The following is an 18,749-nucleotide window of genomic DNA, read 5'->3' on the forward strand; positions in this document are numbered from 1 at the left end:
AACTCAATTGGAAAAAAAATTGGTTTAAAAATAGGGAAAAGATCCGAATAGATACTTCTCTGAAAAAGAAATAAAAACGGTCAATAGATATTCATTGGAGAAATGGAGATTGATATAGCTATTATGGAAAATAGTATAGAGGTTTCTAAATAAAGTATAATGGAACTATTGTATTACTCGATAATTCCTCTTCTGGGCATCTATACTCCCCCAAATGATGCCACCACCTTATAAAGATATCGGCACCACCGTGTTGATAGGATTATCTGGATTTTGTAACTAGAAATGTTTACTTAAAACCCCAGAAACATCTTATTAGATAATAAGTTTAGACCACTTTCTTTTTCTTTTTCTTTCTCTTTTTTTTTTTTTTCTTTGAGACAGAGTCTTACACCGTCACCTGGGCTGGAGTGCAATGGCACGATCTCTGCCTACTGCAACCCCGCCTCCCAGGTTCACGCGATTCTCCTGCCTCAGCCTCCCGAGGAGCTGGGATTACAGGTGCACACCACTACACCCAGATAATTTTTTTCTATTTTTAGTAGAGACGGGGTCTCACTATGTTGGCCAGACTGAAGTTTAGACCACTTTCTGCAGAGGAAAAGCAGTAATTATTCTAAGGTTGTTTGTGTGTGTGTGTGTGTGTGTGTGTGTGTGTGTGTGTGTGTGTAATTTTATTATTTTTTAGAATAGATCATTGTAAAATTGGGAAGATATAGTCAAATCAATATGTTTAGACTTTTCTGAGAACCATTCTAGCTACACTAATTGTAACCACAGATGTTGGTTATTGATGGAAGAGAAATCCAGCTGGCCCATGGAGTAGTAAGTCACATAGAGTCATGAAACATAACTGAAGGATGTTTACATCTAATAGGAAAAAAAATTAAGAGAAAAATAATTTGCCATACTTTGATCATTTTAATAGAAATTATTACAAAGAATATTGAATTATAAAAGAAATATACCATAGGTATAAAATTAATTATATTTTAGTGCTAATAATGAGAATTTTCCTAGTTTATTTCATTTCATATTAGTCTAATATTATTTTAATGTCATTTTAAAGGACTTTTCAGTTCTTTAAGTTTTTCCTTATTTTAATGAATTAATATTTTAAATTTTTATAGTGGACCAATGACATCTCAGGCTTGTAATATAATAACTTAGGGAAATATGGTTTTCTGTTATAATCTAAAAATAAACCATGGTCAGTAATCAATTTTCTTGATTCCATTAAATCATAAGTGTATTGAGGTCAAGAGTACAAGGTGGAAATTGTCAGCCTATTAATTCATTAAATATTTAGTTCAGCTTTTAGAAACATATTTAAATATCTATTACACACCTTCCTAGCATTACTTGTCTCACTTTTTTCTTTTTTATGGTTATTTTGAATTACAAATGTTTATGTGTCAAAACTAAACATTTTTTAAAACTATGTAAATACATACATTTGTATTTATACTATATATTGCATTGTCTCCTCCTCTGAAAGACCAATGATATCAGACATTTCAAATAGAAAACCTAAACAGCATAATTAGGTAGAATAATCCCCTTTATGTGATTTCTTCTACAGAATCGCTCATGCATAATCAGGAAATGTTACTTTCTGAAGTAAATGTTGGTTCCAGTGTACAGCTCCACTGCATTTTCATTGGCAACCTCTCTCTGCATGATTCTAAAAGATGGATCGCTTAAATATGACGTTATAGAGGGTTCATTTTCTTCTACTTCCAACTACGATGATTACATGTAGAGTTATTCTATTCTCACTTTTAAAGAAAACTCAATAAATAAAAAAAATTAAAGCTTTTAGCTCTGGAGAGAAAGCAATCTATCCTCCAATGTGAAATAATAGGAAATAAGTCATTTTTATCATTTATGTAACATTCCTGTTAATATTAATATCCCGCCTTTAATTGGTTCCTCTGGACATTCAATCAACTCAACATATTCAATTTTACTGAGAACACAACTGTGAATATACTCAAAAGTTTCAAAAAGTATAACTGTTAAAAGTGCAGACAGGAAATTATGGTCATTAAATCTCACACAGCTTCAGCTACTTTTGAAAGTATTTTGACATTCTGCAAATATATTAAAAAACCATTGACATAAAAATTGTATGTTAAGTTAAACTGTATTATTATTATTGTTTAGAAAAATATTCATCTTTGACAGGGAATAGTTTCAAAAGAAACCTGCTGATATGATTTAGGATACTTGTAAGTATATGTGTGCAGTATCATTTACCTGGTTTTTTGGGAAAATATTTATCCAAAAATTTTATCTTGAATTCTTTAAAAATATCATGACCTTTTAAAATTCAGAACAAAATATTTTATTGTCACCTTTATTGTTTGACCAAATGTATTGCACATTCAGAATAGCATTTTCTGTGAAACATTCTCCATTAGAATAAATACCAGAAATTCAATTAATAAGTACGTCAACACAGTTATACTAATATAATCAGATAGCATAATAAACCACCTTTACAACATTCTCTACAATATTCTACAATATTCTCTAGCTCCATTATATAAGTTTTTTTAAAATATATGTTTTCGCCTCATATATTGACAACTTAGATTACCCTAGGTGATAGTTAATATTGTCAGCTTGATTGGATTGAAGGACGCAAAGTATTATTCCTGGTGTGTCTGTGATAATGTTGCCAAAGGAGATTAACATTTGAGTCAGTGCACTGGGAGAGGCAGACCCAGCCTCAGTCTAGGTGGGCGCCATCTAGTCAGCTGCCAGCAAGGCTAGGGTAAAAGCAGACAGACGAACGTGGAAAAACTAGACTGGCTGAGTATTCCGGCCTTCATCTTTCTCCCATGCTGGGTGCTTCCTGCTCTCAAACATTGGACTCCAAGTTCTTCACCTTTGGAATCTTGGACTTACACCAGTGGTTTACCAAGGGCTCTCAGGCCTTTGGCCACAGACTGAAGGCTGCACTGTTAACATCCCTACTCTTGAGGTTTGGGGACTCAGACTGGCTTCCTTGCTCCTCAGCTTGCAGATGGCCTATGGTGGGACTTCACCTTGTGATCGTGAGAGTCAACACTCCTTAATAAATTCCCTTTCATATATAAATCTATCCTATTAATCCTGTCCCTCTAGAGAACCCTAACTAATACAGATGTTGGTAGCGGTAGAGTGGGGTACTGCTATAAGGATACCCCAAAATGTGGAAGCGACTTTGGAACTAGGTAACAGACAGAGGTTGGAACAGTTTGGAGGGCTCAGAAGAATACAGAAAAATATGGGAAAGTTTGGAACTTCCTAGAGACTTATTGAATGGTTTTGACCAAAATGCTAATAGTGATATTGACAAGAAAGTTCAGGCTAAGGTGGTCTCAGAAGGAGATGAGAAACTTCTTGGGAACTAGAGCAAAGATCATTCTTGTTATTCTTTAGAAAAAGAGACTGGCAGCATTTTGCCCCAGCTCTGGAGATCTGTGGAACTTTGGACTGGAGAGAGATGGTTTGGAATTGACACTTATGTTTTCTGATGCTACAATAAAATAATGTTTTGTCTACTTATATTCTAGCCTACTAATACAACATGAGTATTGCATGGTCAGAAAATAGCCAGATGTGGTGGCATGTGCAGGTAATCCCATCATGTCAGCCTCTGGATTATCTGGAATTATATAGGCACATACCCACACAACTGGCTATTTTAAAACTTCTAATTTATTTATTTATTTATTTTGTAGAGACACGGTCTCACTATGTTGCCCAAGCTGACCTTGTTCATATTTCTTCTTCCAGAATATTTCATATCCTGTAGTAAGCAGTCCTCCCAGTTTTTGTTTAAATGAAATGAAGTTATGTATTTCCTACATTTAAAAAGAAAAGTATCTTCATTGAGAACAGAATTCTTACAGAATGGGAGAAAGCATTTGCAAAATATATATATTATATGAGACCTGTACCTAGAATACATTTTAAAATTTTTGCACCTCAATGAGAAGTCATAAAACCTCATCAAATCAAGGAAATCTAAATATAAACCCTAGCCAGCAATTGAATGGGAACTTTATCATATGAAATACATAGAGGTCAAGTAATCATGTAAAAAAACTCCAATTTTTGGAATTAAAAAGAAAACTCAAAGTCTAAAAAATAGCAAAGCTAAAAAAATAGCAATGTGTCATCATTACACACCCCATAGAATGGTAAAAGTGTAAAACGATGCTCTTTACTAACTGCCGGTGAGGACATGGAACCATTATAACATTCATACATTTTGTGTATGATTGCATAAACACTTTGGATAGCAATTTTACAGTTACATAGAAATTTAAGCATCCACTTACCAAATCACCTGGCCATTACATTCCTATATATTTACTCAAGAGAAAGAAATACATATGTTCATTCAAAGCTTTGGTTCATTGCTGTGTTATATGTAAAAGCTAAAACCTGGAAGCATCCAAAAATTTTTTTACCAGTGCAATGTAATACTACTCAGCAAAGAAACAGAATGGACGAATAAAAACGACGACGATAAATCTCAAAATAATTATGTTTGTTTTTATTTTAAAAAATTACAAGGAAAGCATATCCAGTACAATTTCATTATATAAAATTCTAGAAAATACAATCTAATTTATAATGACAGAAAGCAGACCAGTGCTTGCCTTCTCATTGCAATGTATGTGTTTACTACCAACATGTGTCAAAACTCATCAATCTGTTTTTTAAAAAATGTGCATATTATTGCAAAAATAAAATAAATTACAAATGCAAGGCAATAAAATATCTCAGTAGTCTTTGTTAAAAGCAAGACGCTTTAAAAAATGTAAGTAGAAACAAGTAGGATTGCCAAATAATTTTGATTAAAAAAAGTCAAAAAGCCCATATGATTTTTTGTACTTATTAACTAATTATTAAGATTGTGTCATAATGGCTAAAGCATAGACATATGGGTAACAGAAATGTAACATATACCAGAAAGTAACATACTCATAATTAATGAATTGATTGTCAACAAAGGTCAAGACAATTCAATAAAAAAGAATTGATTTATTTTAAAAAAGTTATAAAATAATCTTATAGCCATAAGTAAAAAAATCATCTCAATGTACACCTTACAATTGAATACAATATTAACTGGAATGTATCATAGATACAGCTATACATACAATGAAAACTATAAAACATCTGGATGAAAACATGGGAGAAAATATTTTTCAACTTCAATTTGGCAACTTTTTAAAATATAGGACATAAAATTCACAAAACAGAAAAGAAAATCAATAATTTGTACTTCACAAAAGTAAAAAACTTAAGAACATTGCTAAAAATAAAAGACAAACAACAGAAAAAATGTTTCGATAACATATACCGGAAAATTATTTTATATATATATATAATAATTTTATATTATATATTATATTATACATATATAATTATATATATTTTGTATATATAATTATATATTATATTATATATATAATTATATATATAATATATATATATAATTATATATATATAATATATATATATAATTATATATATATATTATATACATATAATCAGGCCAGGTGCAGTGGCTCACTTCTGTCATCCCAGCACTTTGGGAAGCAGGGGTGGGCTGATCACGAGGTCAAGAGTACCAGACCAGCCTAACCAACATTGTGAAACCCTGTCTCTACTAAAAATACAAAAAATCAGCAGGGAGTGGTGGCACGTGCCTGTAATCCCAGCAAAAGGCTGAGGCAGGAGAATTGCTTGAATCCGGGAGGTGGAGGTTGCAGTGAGCCGAGATCATACCACTGCACTCCAGCCTGGGTGACAGATGGAGACTCCGTCTCAAAAAAATAAAAAAAACACCGCATGTTCTCACTCATAAGTGGGAGTTGAACAATGAGAACACATGGACACAGAGAGGGGAACAACACAACACACACCAGGGCCTGTTGGGAGGTGGGGGTTGGGGAGGAAGGGCAGGGAGAGCATAAGGACAAATACCTAATGCATATGGAGCTTAAAACCTAGATGACAGGTTGATGGGTGCAGCAAACCACCATGACACGTGTACACCTACGTAACAAACCAGCATATTCTGCACATGTACCCCAGAACTTAAAGCAAAATTAAAAAATGAAAAAATAAAAAATAAAAAAATTGTCTCTATTTTCAGTAACATCATAGTCTAAGTAGAAAATTACTAGGAATCAGTTAAAATGGGCATAGTATTTGCATGATACATCACTAGTATATAAAAATCAGTTGCTTTCCCATACATCAGAAATCAACTATTGGAATTTGAAATTAAAGGGAAAAATCAGTGTCATTTTCAAAATCACACACCAAAATGAAGTGATTATGTACACATATAACACAAATGTATAGAACCTACATGCAGAAAAGTGTAAAACACTAAAGAAAAAAAAGAATATGTAAATAAATGGAAAGATATTCTGTATTTGTAGATTGAGCGACTTACCTATTGACAAGATGTCAGTTCTTCCCAATCTAATCTGTATTGACTGCAATATCAGTCAAAATACCAGTAAGCAATTTTGTGAGTATTGAAAAATTGATTCTTAATGTATATAAGAAGGCAAAGACCTGTAATATCTAACACAATGCTAAGGAAGAAAACCAAACCTGGAGGACTCACCATATCAAATTTCAATAGCATCATATTGACCAAAGAATAGGCACATAGAGTAATGGACTACATCAAGGAGAATACAAATAGACTCTCATATAGTCAACAGATCTTTGACAAAAGAGTAAAGGCAATTTAGTGAAAAAGAATGATCTTTTAAACAAATTGAAACAATTGAACATTTAAATGCTAAAAATGAACTTAGATATAAACATTACACCTTTTACAAAAATTAACTCAAAATGACTCATAGGCCTAAATGTAAATGTAAATGTAAAATATAAAATTATAGAATTTCATGAGTAAACATAAAATATATATGACCTTTAGTTTGAAAATGAGCTTTAATTACAACACCAATGGCATGATCTGTCAAATAACAATTATTGTTTGACTTTTTTAAATGTAAAAATTCTGCACTGCAAAAGACTTTTATGAGAATAAAGAAAATGAATGAACAGACTGACAGAAAATATTTACAAGTGCAGATTTGAAAACATACTTGTATATAAAGTATTTTTAAAATTGAACTCAACAATAAGAAAAAATAATATTTAAAATGGGCAAAAGTCTGAACAAACACACCAAAATATATGGATTTAAAATAATTAAATGAGAAGATGCTCAGGACCATTTGTTAACAGAAAAATGTAAATTAAAGCTACAATGAAATACCACCATATATCTATTAGAATCAGAATCACTAAAACCCAAAGGCTAACGATACCAAATGCTGACAATAATACATGAAACAGGAACTCTGATTCATCTGGAGGAAATGCAAAATGATACACTTATACGGGAACACAGCATTTTCTTACAACTCAACAATTAGGCTCCTTGACATTTACCCAACTGAGTTGATTGAATACTTAGGTTGACAGAAAACCTAGACACAGGATTTTTGGCAACTTATTTGTATTTGCCAAAAATGGGAAGCAACCAAGGTATCCATTGATATGTGAATGGATAACAAATCATAGTACATCCATATAATGGAATTTGATTTAGTGATAAAGAGAGATATGCTTCAAATCATAAAAGACATTACAAAACATAACTCCATATTGCTAAGTGAGAGATGCCAGTCTAAAAAAGCTGCACAGTGCCAAATTCAATTACACGAATTTCAGGAAAAGACAAAACTATCGAGTCAGTAAACACATCAGTGGTTCTGTCACAATCAGGAGGAAGATGAATAGTTGAAGCATAGGAGATTTCCTAGAGCAGAAAAACTATTCAATATGACATTGTAATGATGAATTCATGACCACAAGCATTTGTCAAAACCTATAGAACTTTGCAGTTTAACTTTAATGAATACACATTTTTAAAAATTTATTTAAATGCTGGGAATTTTAAGATGGAATGAAGAATGTGACAATAATCTAAATGTATTACAAATGAATGAAATAACCTCACTAAAGGGGTGGAACAATAAAGTGATGACTTAAGCAACTTTGGAAATGCATGAACTCTGTAATACTAAAGGGACCCAGAAGAGTTGAATAGTGCTGTTTTCCATTGAAGTATTGGTTAACTATTCTGAAACCACAAATACATATATACTAAAACTGAAAAATTATGTAAATAGATGGTGAATGATAGAGACAAATTTCATCATTGTTGAAATGGGAAGTCACAGAAAACATGTTATAGAGGCTAAAATGAATTATATGTTAATGGGTTAGAGTTGAAGACATCAGCATAAACTCTTTTTAGCTTAATATTGATACAGATCGTTCCACATAAAAACATTTATAGATATGTATATACAGCACTCCCATAGAAATGAGCACAACCAGCATACAGATCTTCACTTCTAATACCATTGACTAATAAAACGAATGAGGAATCATTGGAACAATTGCTGAATCTAGGGCTGGGGTAGAAAATATACAAGACAAGATATCAAGTTTTTGTAGTGTCAGAAAGTGACAAAAAATTAAAAAAAAAAAAAAAAACCCTCACAGTGATGGAGTATGTCAAAGGGCCCCAGGAATAAAAAAAAAAAACTCCCATTGACAAAATATGGAACAATTATAACAGGAAATATGTAAAATTGTACTTAGTTATAACCCAAATTATAGAATAATTTTCCATGAGTCCATACTAAAATAAGTAAATGATGGAATAAATAAATAAATGGAAGAGAATAGACCAATCATTTGAGTAGACGAATTCCAAATAATAAATGTAGATACTCTGCTCTTATCGAAGTGGAACATGATTCTTCACTTTTTAAGTGTGGGCAGTATATAATGCCTTCTATGTAGGGAAGGAGGAACAGAGTAACTTAACATTGGAGAAACCTGCCAAACACTATCTCTACCAGGAGATTGAGGTCAACATGAAAAGTGATACATAATATTTATGGTGCATATGCTTGATATGATGTGATAAGAATGGCACTTTACACCTCCCAAAAAAGACATTACTTCAGTCTAATCATGAGAAAAAAAATTAACTAAGTGCCAATTGAAGGCTGTTCTGCAAAATACCTGACCAGTACTCCTTGCAACTTTAAATATCATACAAAACAAGGAAAGTCTCAGAAACTGTCACAGCTGAGAGGAAGCTAAGAAGACCTAATAGCTAAATGTAGTATCATATTCTGGATGGAATCCTGAAACAACAAAAACAAACGGACATTATGAAAAAACAGGAAAACCCCAGTAAAATATATTCTGTAATCAAAATATATGAATCTCGGTTCATTTTTACAAATATACTACTGTAATATAATAAATTAATAGGGGTAACTAAGGGTAGATTATACAGAAACTTCCTGTACTGTCTTCTCAATAATTCTGTAGATCCAAAATTGTTCTAAAATAAAATGTAGTTTTAAGAAATAATTTCACTATTTTTATTAGGAGTAAAATGATATGAATTAGTAAGCAAATAGATTAGATTATTGTTGTCAGTAACTTTCCTCATTTGATCATTTAATACCAAGCAAATATTGTTTCTTCCCAGCTTCCTTTAACCTTGGATTGTGGATTTATTTTCTTTGTTTCTATTGCTTATTAAACAGTCTTGACCTCTCTTCACTGAATCTAATATATCCACCAAATGCTGTTATTCAGTTCTTAATCTTAGCCATCAATTTCTGTAAGAGTAAGAGAATACACTAAGTGAAAATAGATTTAATAGGGATAGACAATGATTCACAGTGTTCCAGAGAGGCCATTAAGATAACAAATAATGCATGTCTCTTTGAATATATAAAAATGAAATTACTAAAAAAAAAATCTACATTAGTTTTGGCTTTGAATATAATTTAAACCACACTGTTTGTTTTACTTTCTCTATAGGCTTTATATTTATAACACAACAATTTATTTTAATCAATTTTGTTGCACATTTATTCCAAACAATAAATACAACAATTGGTAATTTCATATGATTATTAATGAAAACATCATTAACCTTTAATACAGAAGGGTAAGGCATTTTTTAGTATGCATATAAAAATTTTTGAAAAATAATTCTATAGCTAAATAAATCAATAAGAAGATTGGGAGAGTGGATATAATAAAAGTTGATAAGAGATACAAGTCATTTATGGTGTTTATTGTATTATATGTCAATATTGAAAGAAACTCAAACTTCTTTTTAAGTTTACTTCTTTTTTTCTTTTTTTTTTAATTGAACAATGAGAGCACATGGACACAGGAAGGGGAATATCACACACTGGGGCCTGTTGTGGGGTGGGGGGAAGGGGGAGGGATAGCATTAGGAGATATACCTAATGCTAAATGACGAGTTAATGAGTGCAGCACACCGACATGGCACATGTATACATGTGTAACAAACCTGCACATTGTGCACATGTACCCTAAAACTTAAAGTATAATAATAATAAAATTTTAAAAAAAAGAAAAAAAATTAAGTTTACTTCTTTTGGAGCCTACTACAGGTATGGTCATGAATGTATATATAATTTCACTAATCCCTTGAAAGAAACTACAAAATTTAAAATAGAACTAAAATGATCAACTGTAAATAGATGAAAGCAAGTAGAAACAAACAGGACAAAGGTGGCAGCATAGGAACGTTTGTAAACAGTATAGTCTTAATCAGGAGGACACGGATTAGGTATTAGTGGACTATGTGGTAATGAACACTCCCACGTGCCCACATACACACGCGTACACACACTTGCAGAACTGAGGCAGGAAAATAGGGTCTGGAGGCAGGGAACATAAGGCTGATTTACACTTCAGCTATGACAGGAAATATCCTCTCCATAGGGCAGACACCGAGTAAATGACTGTAACTTTACTTTGTCCTCTCCATTTACAGCGGGCATACTCGAAGCAACCAATGAAATCCTTTAGGGGGTATTTTAAACTCCTAAAAATTCCTTAATAGGGCCTTTGAGCTCCTATGCTTGGGCCCTCTCCCACACTGTGGAGTGTACTTTCACTTTCAATAAATTCCTTTGTCCCTTCCTTGCTTTGTGCGTTTTGTCCAATTCTTTGTTCAAGACACCAAGAACCTCGACACGAACCACCTTTAACATAGTTTGGTGAACCAGCCTGGAGGCAGAGGTAAGCCCAAAGTTTGGGATTTATTCTTCTCCTTTCTTCTTTTTCTTTCTGCTCCATACAAGGGAATCTTTCTCCCTTTTCCTTTCCAACCCAGGACCCTTAGTAGTCAGATCCTAAACATGGAAGCAAATGCAGGTTTCTGGCTGTGGCCAGTAAACCTAAGGGGGTTCCATGTGGAGAAGCCTGACCACCACCGCCCAGTTCGCTTAAGAAACCTGGGTTTTTTTTCCACGTCTTTTTTCTTTTTCTTTTTTTTCCTCTTTCTTTTTCAGTCTTTCAGCAGCAGCTTCCTAGTAGCTCCTTGGAAATTGAGGGCAATTGCCTGGGGTCACTCCTCAGTACTGCTTGAAGGCCTAGGAAATGAATGGGAATAATTGCCCTGCCCCAAAGGGGAAAGGACTTGTATTTTTTAATCTTTTCTGTACATGGTCCCTGATCCCTACATGGGATGCAGCTCCGAGCAAACTTGCACATGTTTCAGGGGACTTAAACCTTCTTTTCTTATGCTAAATTCTTCCCTTATTGTATTCAACTGGCTAAGGAACAAAAAGGCCCACCCAGCATCCAGTTCTCATTACAGTTCATGGCCACTCTTATAAAGCTCATTGTATCCTCCAGAGGGGAGAACCTGCATGTGGTGCCCACCTGAGGTCAGAGACGTTTGGCACTCTAAGACTGGACCCCACAGGAGGATGCTCTGTGGATCCTGGGGACCCTAACCACTCCACTCCTAACACTCTTGGCAGAGGATCTGAGGTCTAGTATTAAACCCCCTTAGAATTTTCTCTCACAGTTGCAGTGCTGCTTGGCCCCAACAGTGTTTGGAATCTGGAGTTTACTTTCTAATGGGAAAGTGGAATGGTGTTGCATGTGTCCAGGCTTTTGTGCTGTGTTTCTAACCAGGGCGCTTGGTTAATGTGTGACATCCTCCTTTGGTAGGGTTTGGTCCCAGTGCTCTTTGAAGTCTGGGGAGATTTGACCTTTAAAAATCAAACTGTCAGCCAGGCGTGGTGGCTCACGCCTGTAATCCCAGCACTTTTGGAGGCCGAGGTGAGAGGATCACCTAAGGTCGGGAGTTCGAGACCAGCCTGACCAACATGGAGAAACCCTGTCTCTACTAAAAAAAAAAAAAAAAAAAAAAAAAAAAAAAAAGTACAAAATTAGCCAGGCGTGGTGGCATATGCTTGTAATCCAAGCTACTCGGGAGGCTGAGGCAGAAGAATAGCTTGAACCTGGGAGGCAGAGGTTATGGTGAGCTGAGATTGCGCCATTGCACTCCAGCCCGGGCAACAAGAGTGAAATTCCGTCTCAAAAAAAAAAAAAAAATCAAACTGTCATGAAGACTGCTTTACCCAAAATCTTGGTTCACAGCCTTCATTAGATTATCTGTTGGGGCAAAGTAATACGGGCAAGCTTGTATTGCTATCTCATGACTAAGGTGCCAAGCTATTGTATTTTCATTTGTGTGTGTGTGTATACACATCTATATGTGTTTATTTGTATGTACGCTTATTGTTATATGTCATGTCTACCAAAATTGGCTTATAAGTAAAAGAGCACTCATAAATTAAGTAAATAAGTCTAAGCAATTTACAAGTTTAGATGACTTAAAGTATCACTTTACTAAACAATCTAGCTTTACAATTATTGGTGGAATAAAAATAGAAATGCCTTCAGAATTGTCAGCATACATTTTGTCTGAATTTTATGTTTGTCTTTGCTAGATATTTTTAAATATCAGTGTTAATTCAAGGGAGGAGCTGCTTGGGGTAAGCCTGCCTCCCATTCTGTTCAAAATGACTGAGATAAATTCATATCTGATTGCTTCCTTTGGAAAAGCTAATCAGAAACTAGAAAGAATGCAACCATTTTTCTCCCACCTGTGATCTGAAAGCCCACAAGCCCCCTCCTCACCTCGAGCTGTCCCACCTTTCCAGACCAAACCAATGTTCATTTTACCTATGTTGATGGATGTCTCATGTCTTCCTTGTAAAAAGTAAAAAATTAAGTACAGTGAATAGAATAATTGTTTAGGTAATGTTTTTGTGTAAATTAAAATCTTAAAGTTGTTTTTGATGCTCATTTAATATCTGAGTCATTTCCAATAAAGAAAATGTTGTAATATAGAAAAATATGTTTCCAAAAATTGTGGAATTGTCCTTATCTATAAATGTCCATATCTGATAGCTCAGGATTTCTTGCTTTTTAGAGTTTCAGTATAGTTTTAGTTTACTAAGGATAAAATTCTAGTTAACATGTAATTCTGTATAGGAAATGTGCCAGAAAGGGTTGTATTATTAGTGGAAAAAGAATAATTTTATCTAATTCCAAAATTATCTAAAAGTAAGTTCAAATTACAGATTTGAAAAGGTTATTTATGAAACAGTGTAGTAAGAAACCATTAAGTAGGGGAGAAAGATATGGAAAAACTTTAAATAATAAAATATTATTTAAAACCCGATAAAGAATTGGAAACATTTGTCTATCATTTTCATAGTTAAAGCTCTTAGTCTTGAATAAAGTTAAAAGTATTGTAAAAATGCATTGGCAGTTTGGCAGTTTTTAAAAAATATAGTTAAGCATGGAGCTGGATTTAGCATAAAGTCAAATTTCACATACATTGCATTGCTTCACACTATGTTTACAGTTTTGCGTGGATAGTGCTAGAGTACTTATTGGTCATGTGCCTAAAGTGAATTTCTGAATTTCACAGAATGTATAATGATATTGGTGAACTTAAGGATATTGAATTGTGTGTCAGGAATAAAATATTCATTATGTGGGTTTTTGGGGGCCCTAAGTGACGCTGTAACCACCAGGGTAAATAGAGTAGGAAAATTTAGATTTGGTTTCCTCCTTAATTGTTTTTGCTTCTAGTTTTCATTCATTTGCTGTTTATTCTCCTCTGGCTTTGATTGACTATCCATATATATAAATCATGATGCTTTTTATTTTCTAATGGAAGGCTTTTATTTGGTTTTGTGAATAGTTATTTTGTTTCCAATGCATTTCTAGCAAGTCATATTCATTCCACTTATCTGGAATTCCTAAGCTACCTTTGTCAGGTCACAGGATTAATGGAGCACACCAGCTTTTTATTCTTATAAACTAACTTTTTGAATTTTAGGCTTCCTGGTATTTTAAGTATGCTGACTATACTCTCATAAATAGAATTTGAGTCATATTTCTTTCTCTCTGCCTAGTTTCTCCAAAATTGTAAACTATTTATAAATATTCTTAATTCATGGCAATGTGTTTGTTTACATACAGTCAAGCATGATCCCTAAGGCTGCTCAGGGAGAGAGAACCTAGAAACCTGGCATGCTGGCAAAAGGGTAAGAATTTCTTGCCAGTCAGTCTCTGGCCTCTTTCTTTCTGTGCAAACTGGTTACATTAAAGATAAAAATCACTGTTTGTCTCCTCTGTAAAGTTTTGACTTAATTTGTTTAATAATAATAAGAGCTTAAATCAAATGTTTCATCAGAAATGTGAAAAACATAATGCCTTTTATTTTGTTCATGTGACTTGAGTAATCGTTGGCAAATAAAGACAGTTTTAAAGATTATTGGTAAAATACAATGTCTTCAAAATGTAAACATGTGGTGTAAGTTATGTTCAAACATTAGGTTTGCTAAAAGCTTTAAGATCATAAACTGCTTCTTTGGTTTTTGAAAATTGTTTAACTTGCCTGCATTCCAGCTGGGTAAGGCCTGGGGACATGTGGAGCTGGCCACTCCCTAGCTATGCTGGAAGCAGTCAAACCTTATTAGAACATAACTTACCAGATTTTTACATTAAAGTTAAAATTGCTAAGACTCACTATTATAATATGCAATTGAGACTGCTAGAAACAGTTTTAAATGTAAGGTGTGCAAAAACAGTAGAATGTGATTTTTTATGTTGTTGTTTAAAGGTTATAAAAGGTTTTTGATTCTTTAAAATTTTGGACTCATCATTTTGGCAAAAGAAATAATTTATGGTAATCTAGAATTCCAAAATCAAACTTAAGCCTCAAAATTATCTTTCCTAATGCCTGAGTTTCTGGATGGATCAGAGGGCCCCTGAAAACATCCAGAAAGGAGGTAAACAGGATTATTTGACATGTTTAGGTACGTAGGATTGCCAAAATGATGTTCAATCTTCTTTAGGCTATGTTTTTGTGAATATATTCCAAAATTGTATGGGATTTCTAAAATTCTAATGTCTAAGTGTATGCTACCAATCACAATTATAGTTATTATGTTATTGTAAACCACAGAAAAAAATAAATTTCCTTGTATAAAACTACTAACTCAAGTAGAACAAAATTAATTAAATACCAAGAAAATACTTTGTCAGATTTTCATGTTAAACCAGTTGAAACTGAAATTGTTTAAAATAGTTTATAACCAATGCTTGGTCCCATATTCCTGGGAAGACAATTAATTCAATGCATGCTTTCTGGTTGTATAAAAGCTTTCCCACACAGGAGGACTGATGTTATAACAGTAGATTATTATGCTACAGTATATTTTCACCAGGTAAAGAAAGCTTTTTATGGTTTGAATCTTCTGGAAACATCAGAGTAAAACCATACTTGCCATCCACACTACAACAAAACTTTGGGACCTTGAACTTTGGGTTCATAACCTCATGACTGAGAAGGGTCCCTCTATGCTATTGGAGCTATGCACCCACTGGAACCCTTAAGGTCAAACTAAGCAGGGAAATTTCTCCCAAGAAGAGAATAGGACCCTTGATGTGAACAGCTTCCTAAGTTCACAGATTAAGACTTCTACTATCATGAACTCATATCTTTGAATATTTTTTCTTGCTTATGCCTTCTAAGAACAATAGAAGTGGAAAAAGGGTCTGTTATGTGCACTTATGGGGCACACTTTTATTTGTTAATGAGTTTGCAGCCTGCCTTATACATGGGTAACCTTATACTTTGATAGATAAAAGGTGAAGGCCCACTGTTGGTAAGAAACTTTAATGGTACATGTGTTGCCTCATAATCAGTCAAAAGCAAAACACTGGTTGACTCCTTTTAACCCACATCATGGGTTAAAGAGAACATTGCCAGAAGGCCTTCACTCTTCTAAAAGGGCATCATTTGTTAGGTCCTTTTTCCATGGTTTAAAGTAAACTATGCAATGACTAGAAATTTAATCCCTCATGACAGGCTCTATGGCAGATTCTACTGTAAAGGCTACAGTTACAGAATAGACTCTAAATTTTCTTGTGAAAGTTATGACAAAATTCGCTAAACAGAGAAGTATCTGTGCAGCTGCTGGCACTTGTGGCCTATAGAGAAATACATCAAATGAAGATTATAGAAATTCAGTGGTAGAGGAGTGATGAAGAAATTGCTTAGTCAAGTGAGTACATTCTTTATCTAGCTCATTATTTGATCCATTTGATTTTAGGAGGTTTGTTTTATGGGGATCCTGAGGAAGGAGCATATTCCAAACTCTTGATATTATTCTCCCAATAGTCATAATAATAGTCTCCAGGGTGCACTGTATTCTCTCAAAGGTTTCAAATGCTTGCATGCAGCCATCTCTAGAATGTGATATGGTCTCTCCTCAACTGGAATAACAGGAGCTGAAAGAAATGTGCAACCATGAGGACACCATAACCTATAAATAATGTGCTGATACCAGAAACCCAAAATGATGGTAACTGAGAGTGGTTCTAAGGCCCTAAGTTTTGGTACACTCTCATCTAAGTGAGAACCTGACCAAAAAGGGGGAATTTTTTTTTTTTTTTATTTTCTGAGGTGGAGTCTTGCTCTGGTGCCCAGGCTGAAGTGCAGTGGCATGATCTTGGATCACTGCAACCTCTGTCTCCCGGGTTCAGGTTTAAGCAATTCTCCTACCTCAGCCTCCTGAGTAGCTGGGACTATAGGTGCGTGCCACCATACCCATCTAATTTTTTGTATTTTTAGTAGAGACGGGTTTTCACCATGTTAGCCAGGATGGTCTCAATCTCCTGACCTTGTGATCTGCCTGCTTTGGCTTCCCAAAGTGCTGGGATTACAGGTGTGAGCCACCGTGCCCAGCCAGGCAGAATATTTTAAACAAAATTCTGGGAGGCCGTTGTTTTGGACTAAGTTCATGTACTAGGTCTCAACAAACCAAGCCAAACCAAACCAAACCAAAATGGAGTTGCTTGTGCTAGGACTTTAAGGAAACACATAGATTCTAGAACAAATCAGGTTTTGTTCTGAATCCTGCAAATCTCTATAATACAGATTTCTGACAGCATAGGTATCCACCCCCTAAAGTCCCCATTAAATCTTTTAACCAAATTCATTTCCTCTGGCCTAGAGACCATCAAGCTTCAGATGATCATGCAACAAAAGTCCCAGCTAGTTCCAGGTGAAGACAACACACCTGGCCTTCAAAAAGCTACTCTGCCTCCACTAGAGAGAACAGGGCGAGAGTTCCATGATCCCCAGTAGGTAAGGACTACACCCCAAGCCAGCATGAAGCAGTTACAGAAAAAGACGACCATTGATCCCTCTGCTTCCTATAAAGATTTATGGATTTATGGGGATCACATCTGTTGGCGGGAGGGTGGGAAAAGGGGCAGGAAAATAGGGTCTGGAGGCAAGGAACATATAAGGCTGATTTACACTTCAGCTATGAGAGGAAATATCCTCTCCATAGGACATACACAGAGTAAATAACTTTGTAACTTTACTTCATCCTCTCCATTTACATAGGGCATACCAGAAATAACCAGTGGAATCCTCTAGGGGGTATTTAAACTCCCAAAAATTCTGTAACGTGGCCTTGGAGCTCCTATGCTCAGGTCCGCTCACACACTGTGGAGTGTACTTTCATTTTCAATAAATTCCTTTGTCCCTTCCTTGCTTTGTTTGTGTGTTTTGTCCAATTCTTTGTTCAAGATGCCAAGAACCTGGACACCCTCCTCCTTTAACAGAATGATTTGATTTATTTTACTTCACATTTTGTTTATTTGTTTATTTGTACTTCACATTTTGTGCTCATTTTTCCTACTGCAGAGGTTTTTAAAAATACTGAAGATATAATTGTCCTTATTTATCTCTGCATTTGTTAATCCACACATTTGTTTGAACAAATGGTATCTTCAAATTTGCCATGTACCAGCTATCATTCTAGCCACACATGATCCCTACCTTCATGGAAATTTCTACCAATAAGTGTTCTAGAAAACCTTGACATTATTACTGAGTCTTACTGGCTTTGGGATACAACAAAATACACTTCCTAGTTTGAGTGACAGTCAGAAATGGTTCCTAATATCCTAGGTGAAATCTATCCATCAGTTAACTGCTTTTAAACAGATCACACTGCCCCTTTATCAGATGTAGCAGCTGCCTCAAATAAAGCCTGTCTATTTTACATTCACATATCCATGGTTCATGTACATTCAATAGTCACTTGGAGATAAGGCAATAGATCATGTATTTTACCAGTTAGGTGTGAATCAGTAGTGCATTAATTGTAAGTATATAACTGGTAAACATACATATCAAAGGACAAGGATATTTGGATAACGAAGGGTGAGAAGTGAGATTTATTATG

The 18,749-nt window shown here is 34.4% G+C and overlaps 1 long non-coding RNA gene across 1 annotated transcript in view; it reads left to right on the forward strand.

Moving 5' to 3' along the window:
- Positions 1–17,666, forward strand: part of LOC107985508 (uncharacterized) — a 193,177-nt gene extending 175,511 nt beyond the window's left edge. The window contains exons 3-4 of the long non-coding RNA XR_007067937.1: positions 14,464–14,528; positions 17,505–17,666. This is a non-coding gene — a long non-coding RNA (uncharacterized LOC107985508). The remainder of the gene's footprint in view (positions 1–14,463; positions 14,529–17,504) is intronic.
- Positions 17,667–18,749: the final 1,083 nt, after the last annotated feature.

Source organism: Homo sapiens, chromosome 21 (genome assembly GCF_000001405.40).
Source record: "Homo sapiens chromosome 21, GRCh38.p14 Primary Assembly".
NCBI lineage: Eukaryota > Metazoa > Chordata > Mammalia > Primates > Hominidae > Homo > Homo sapiens.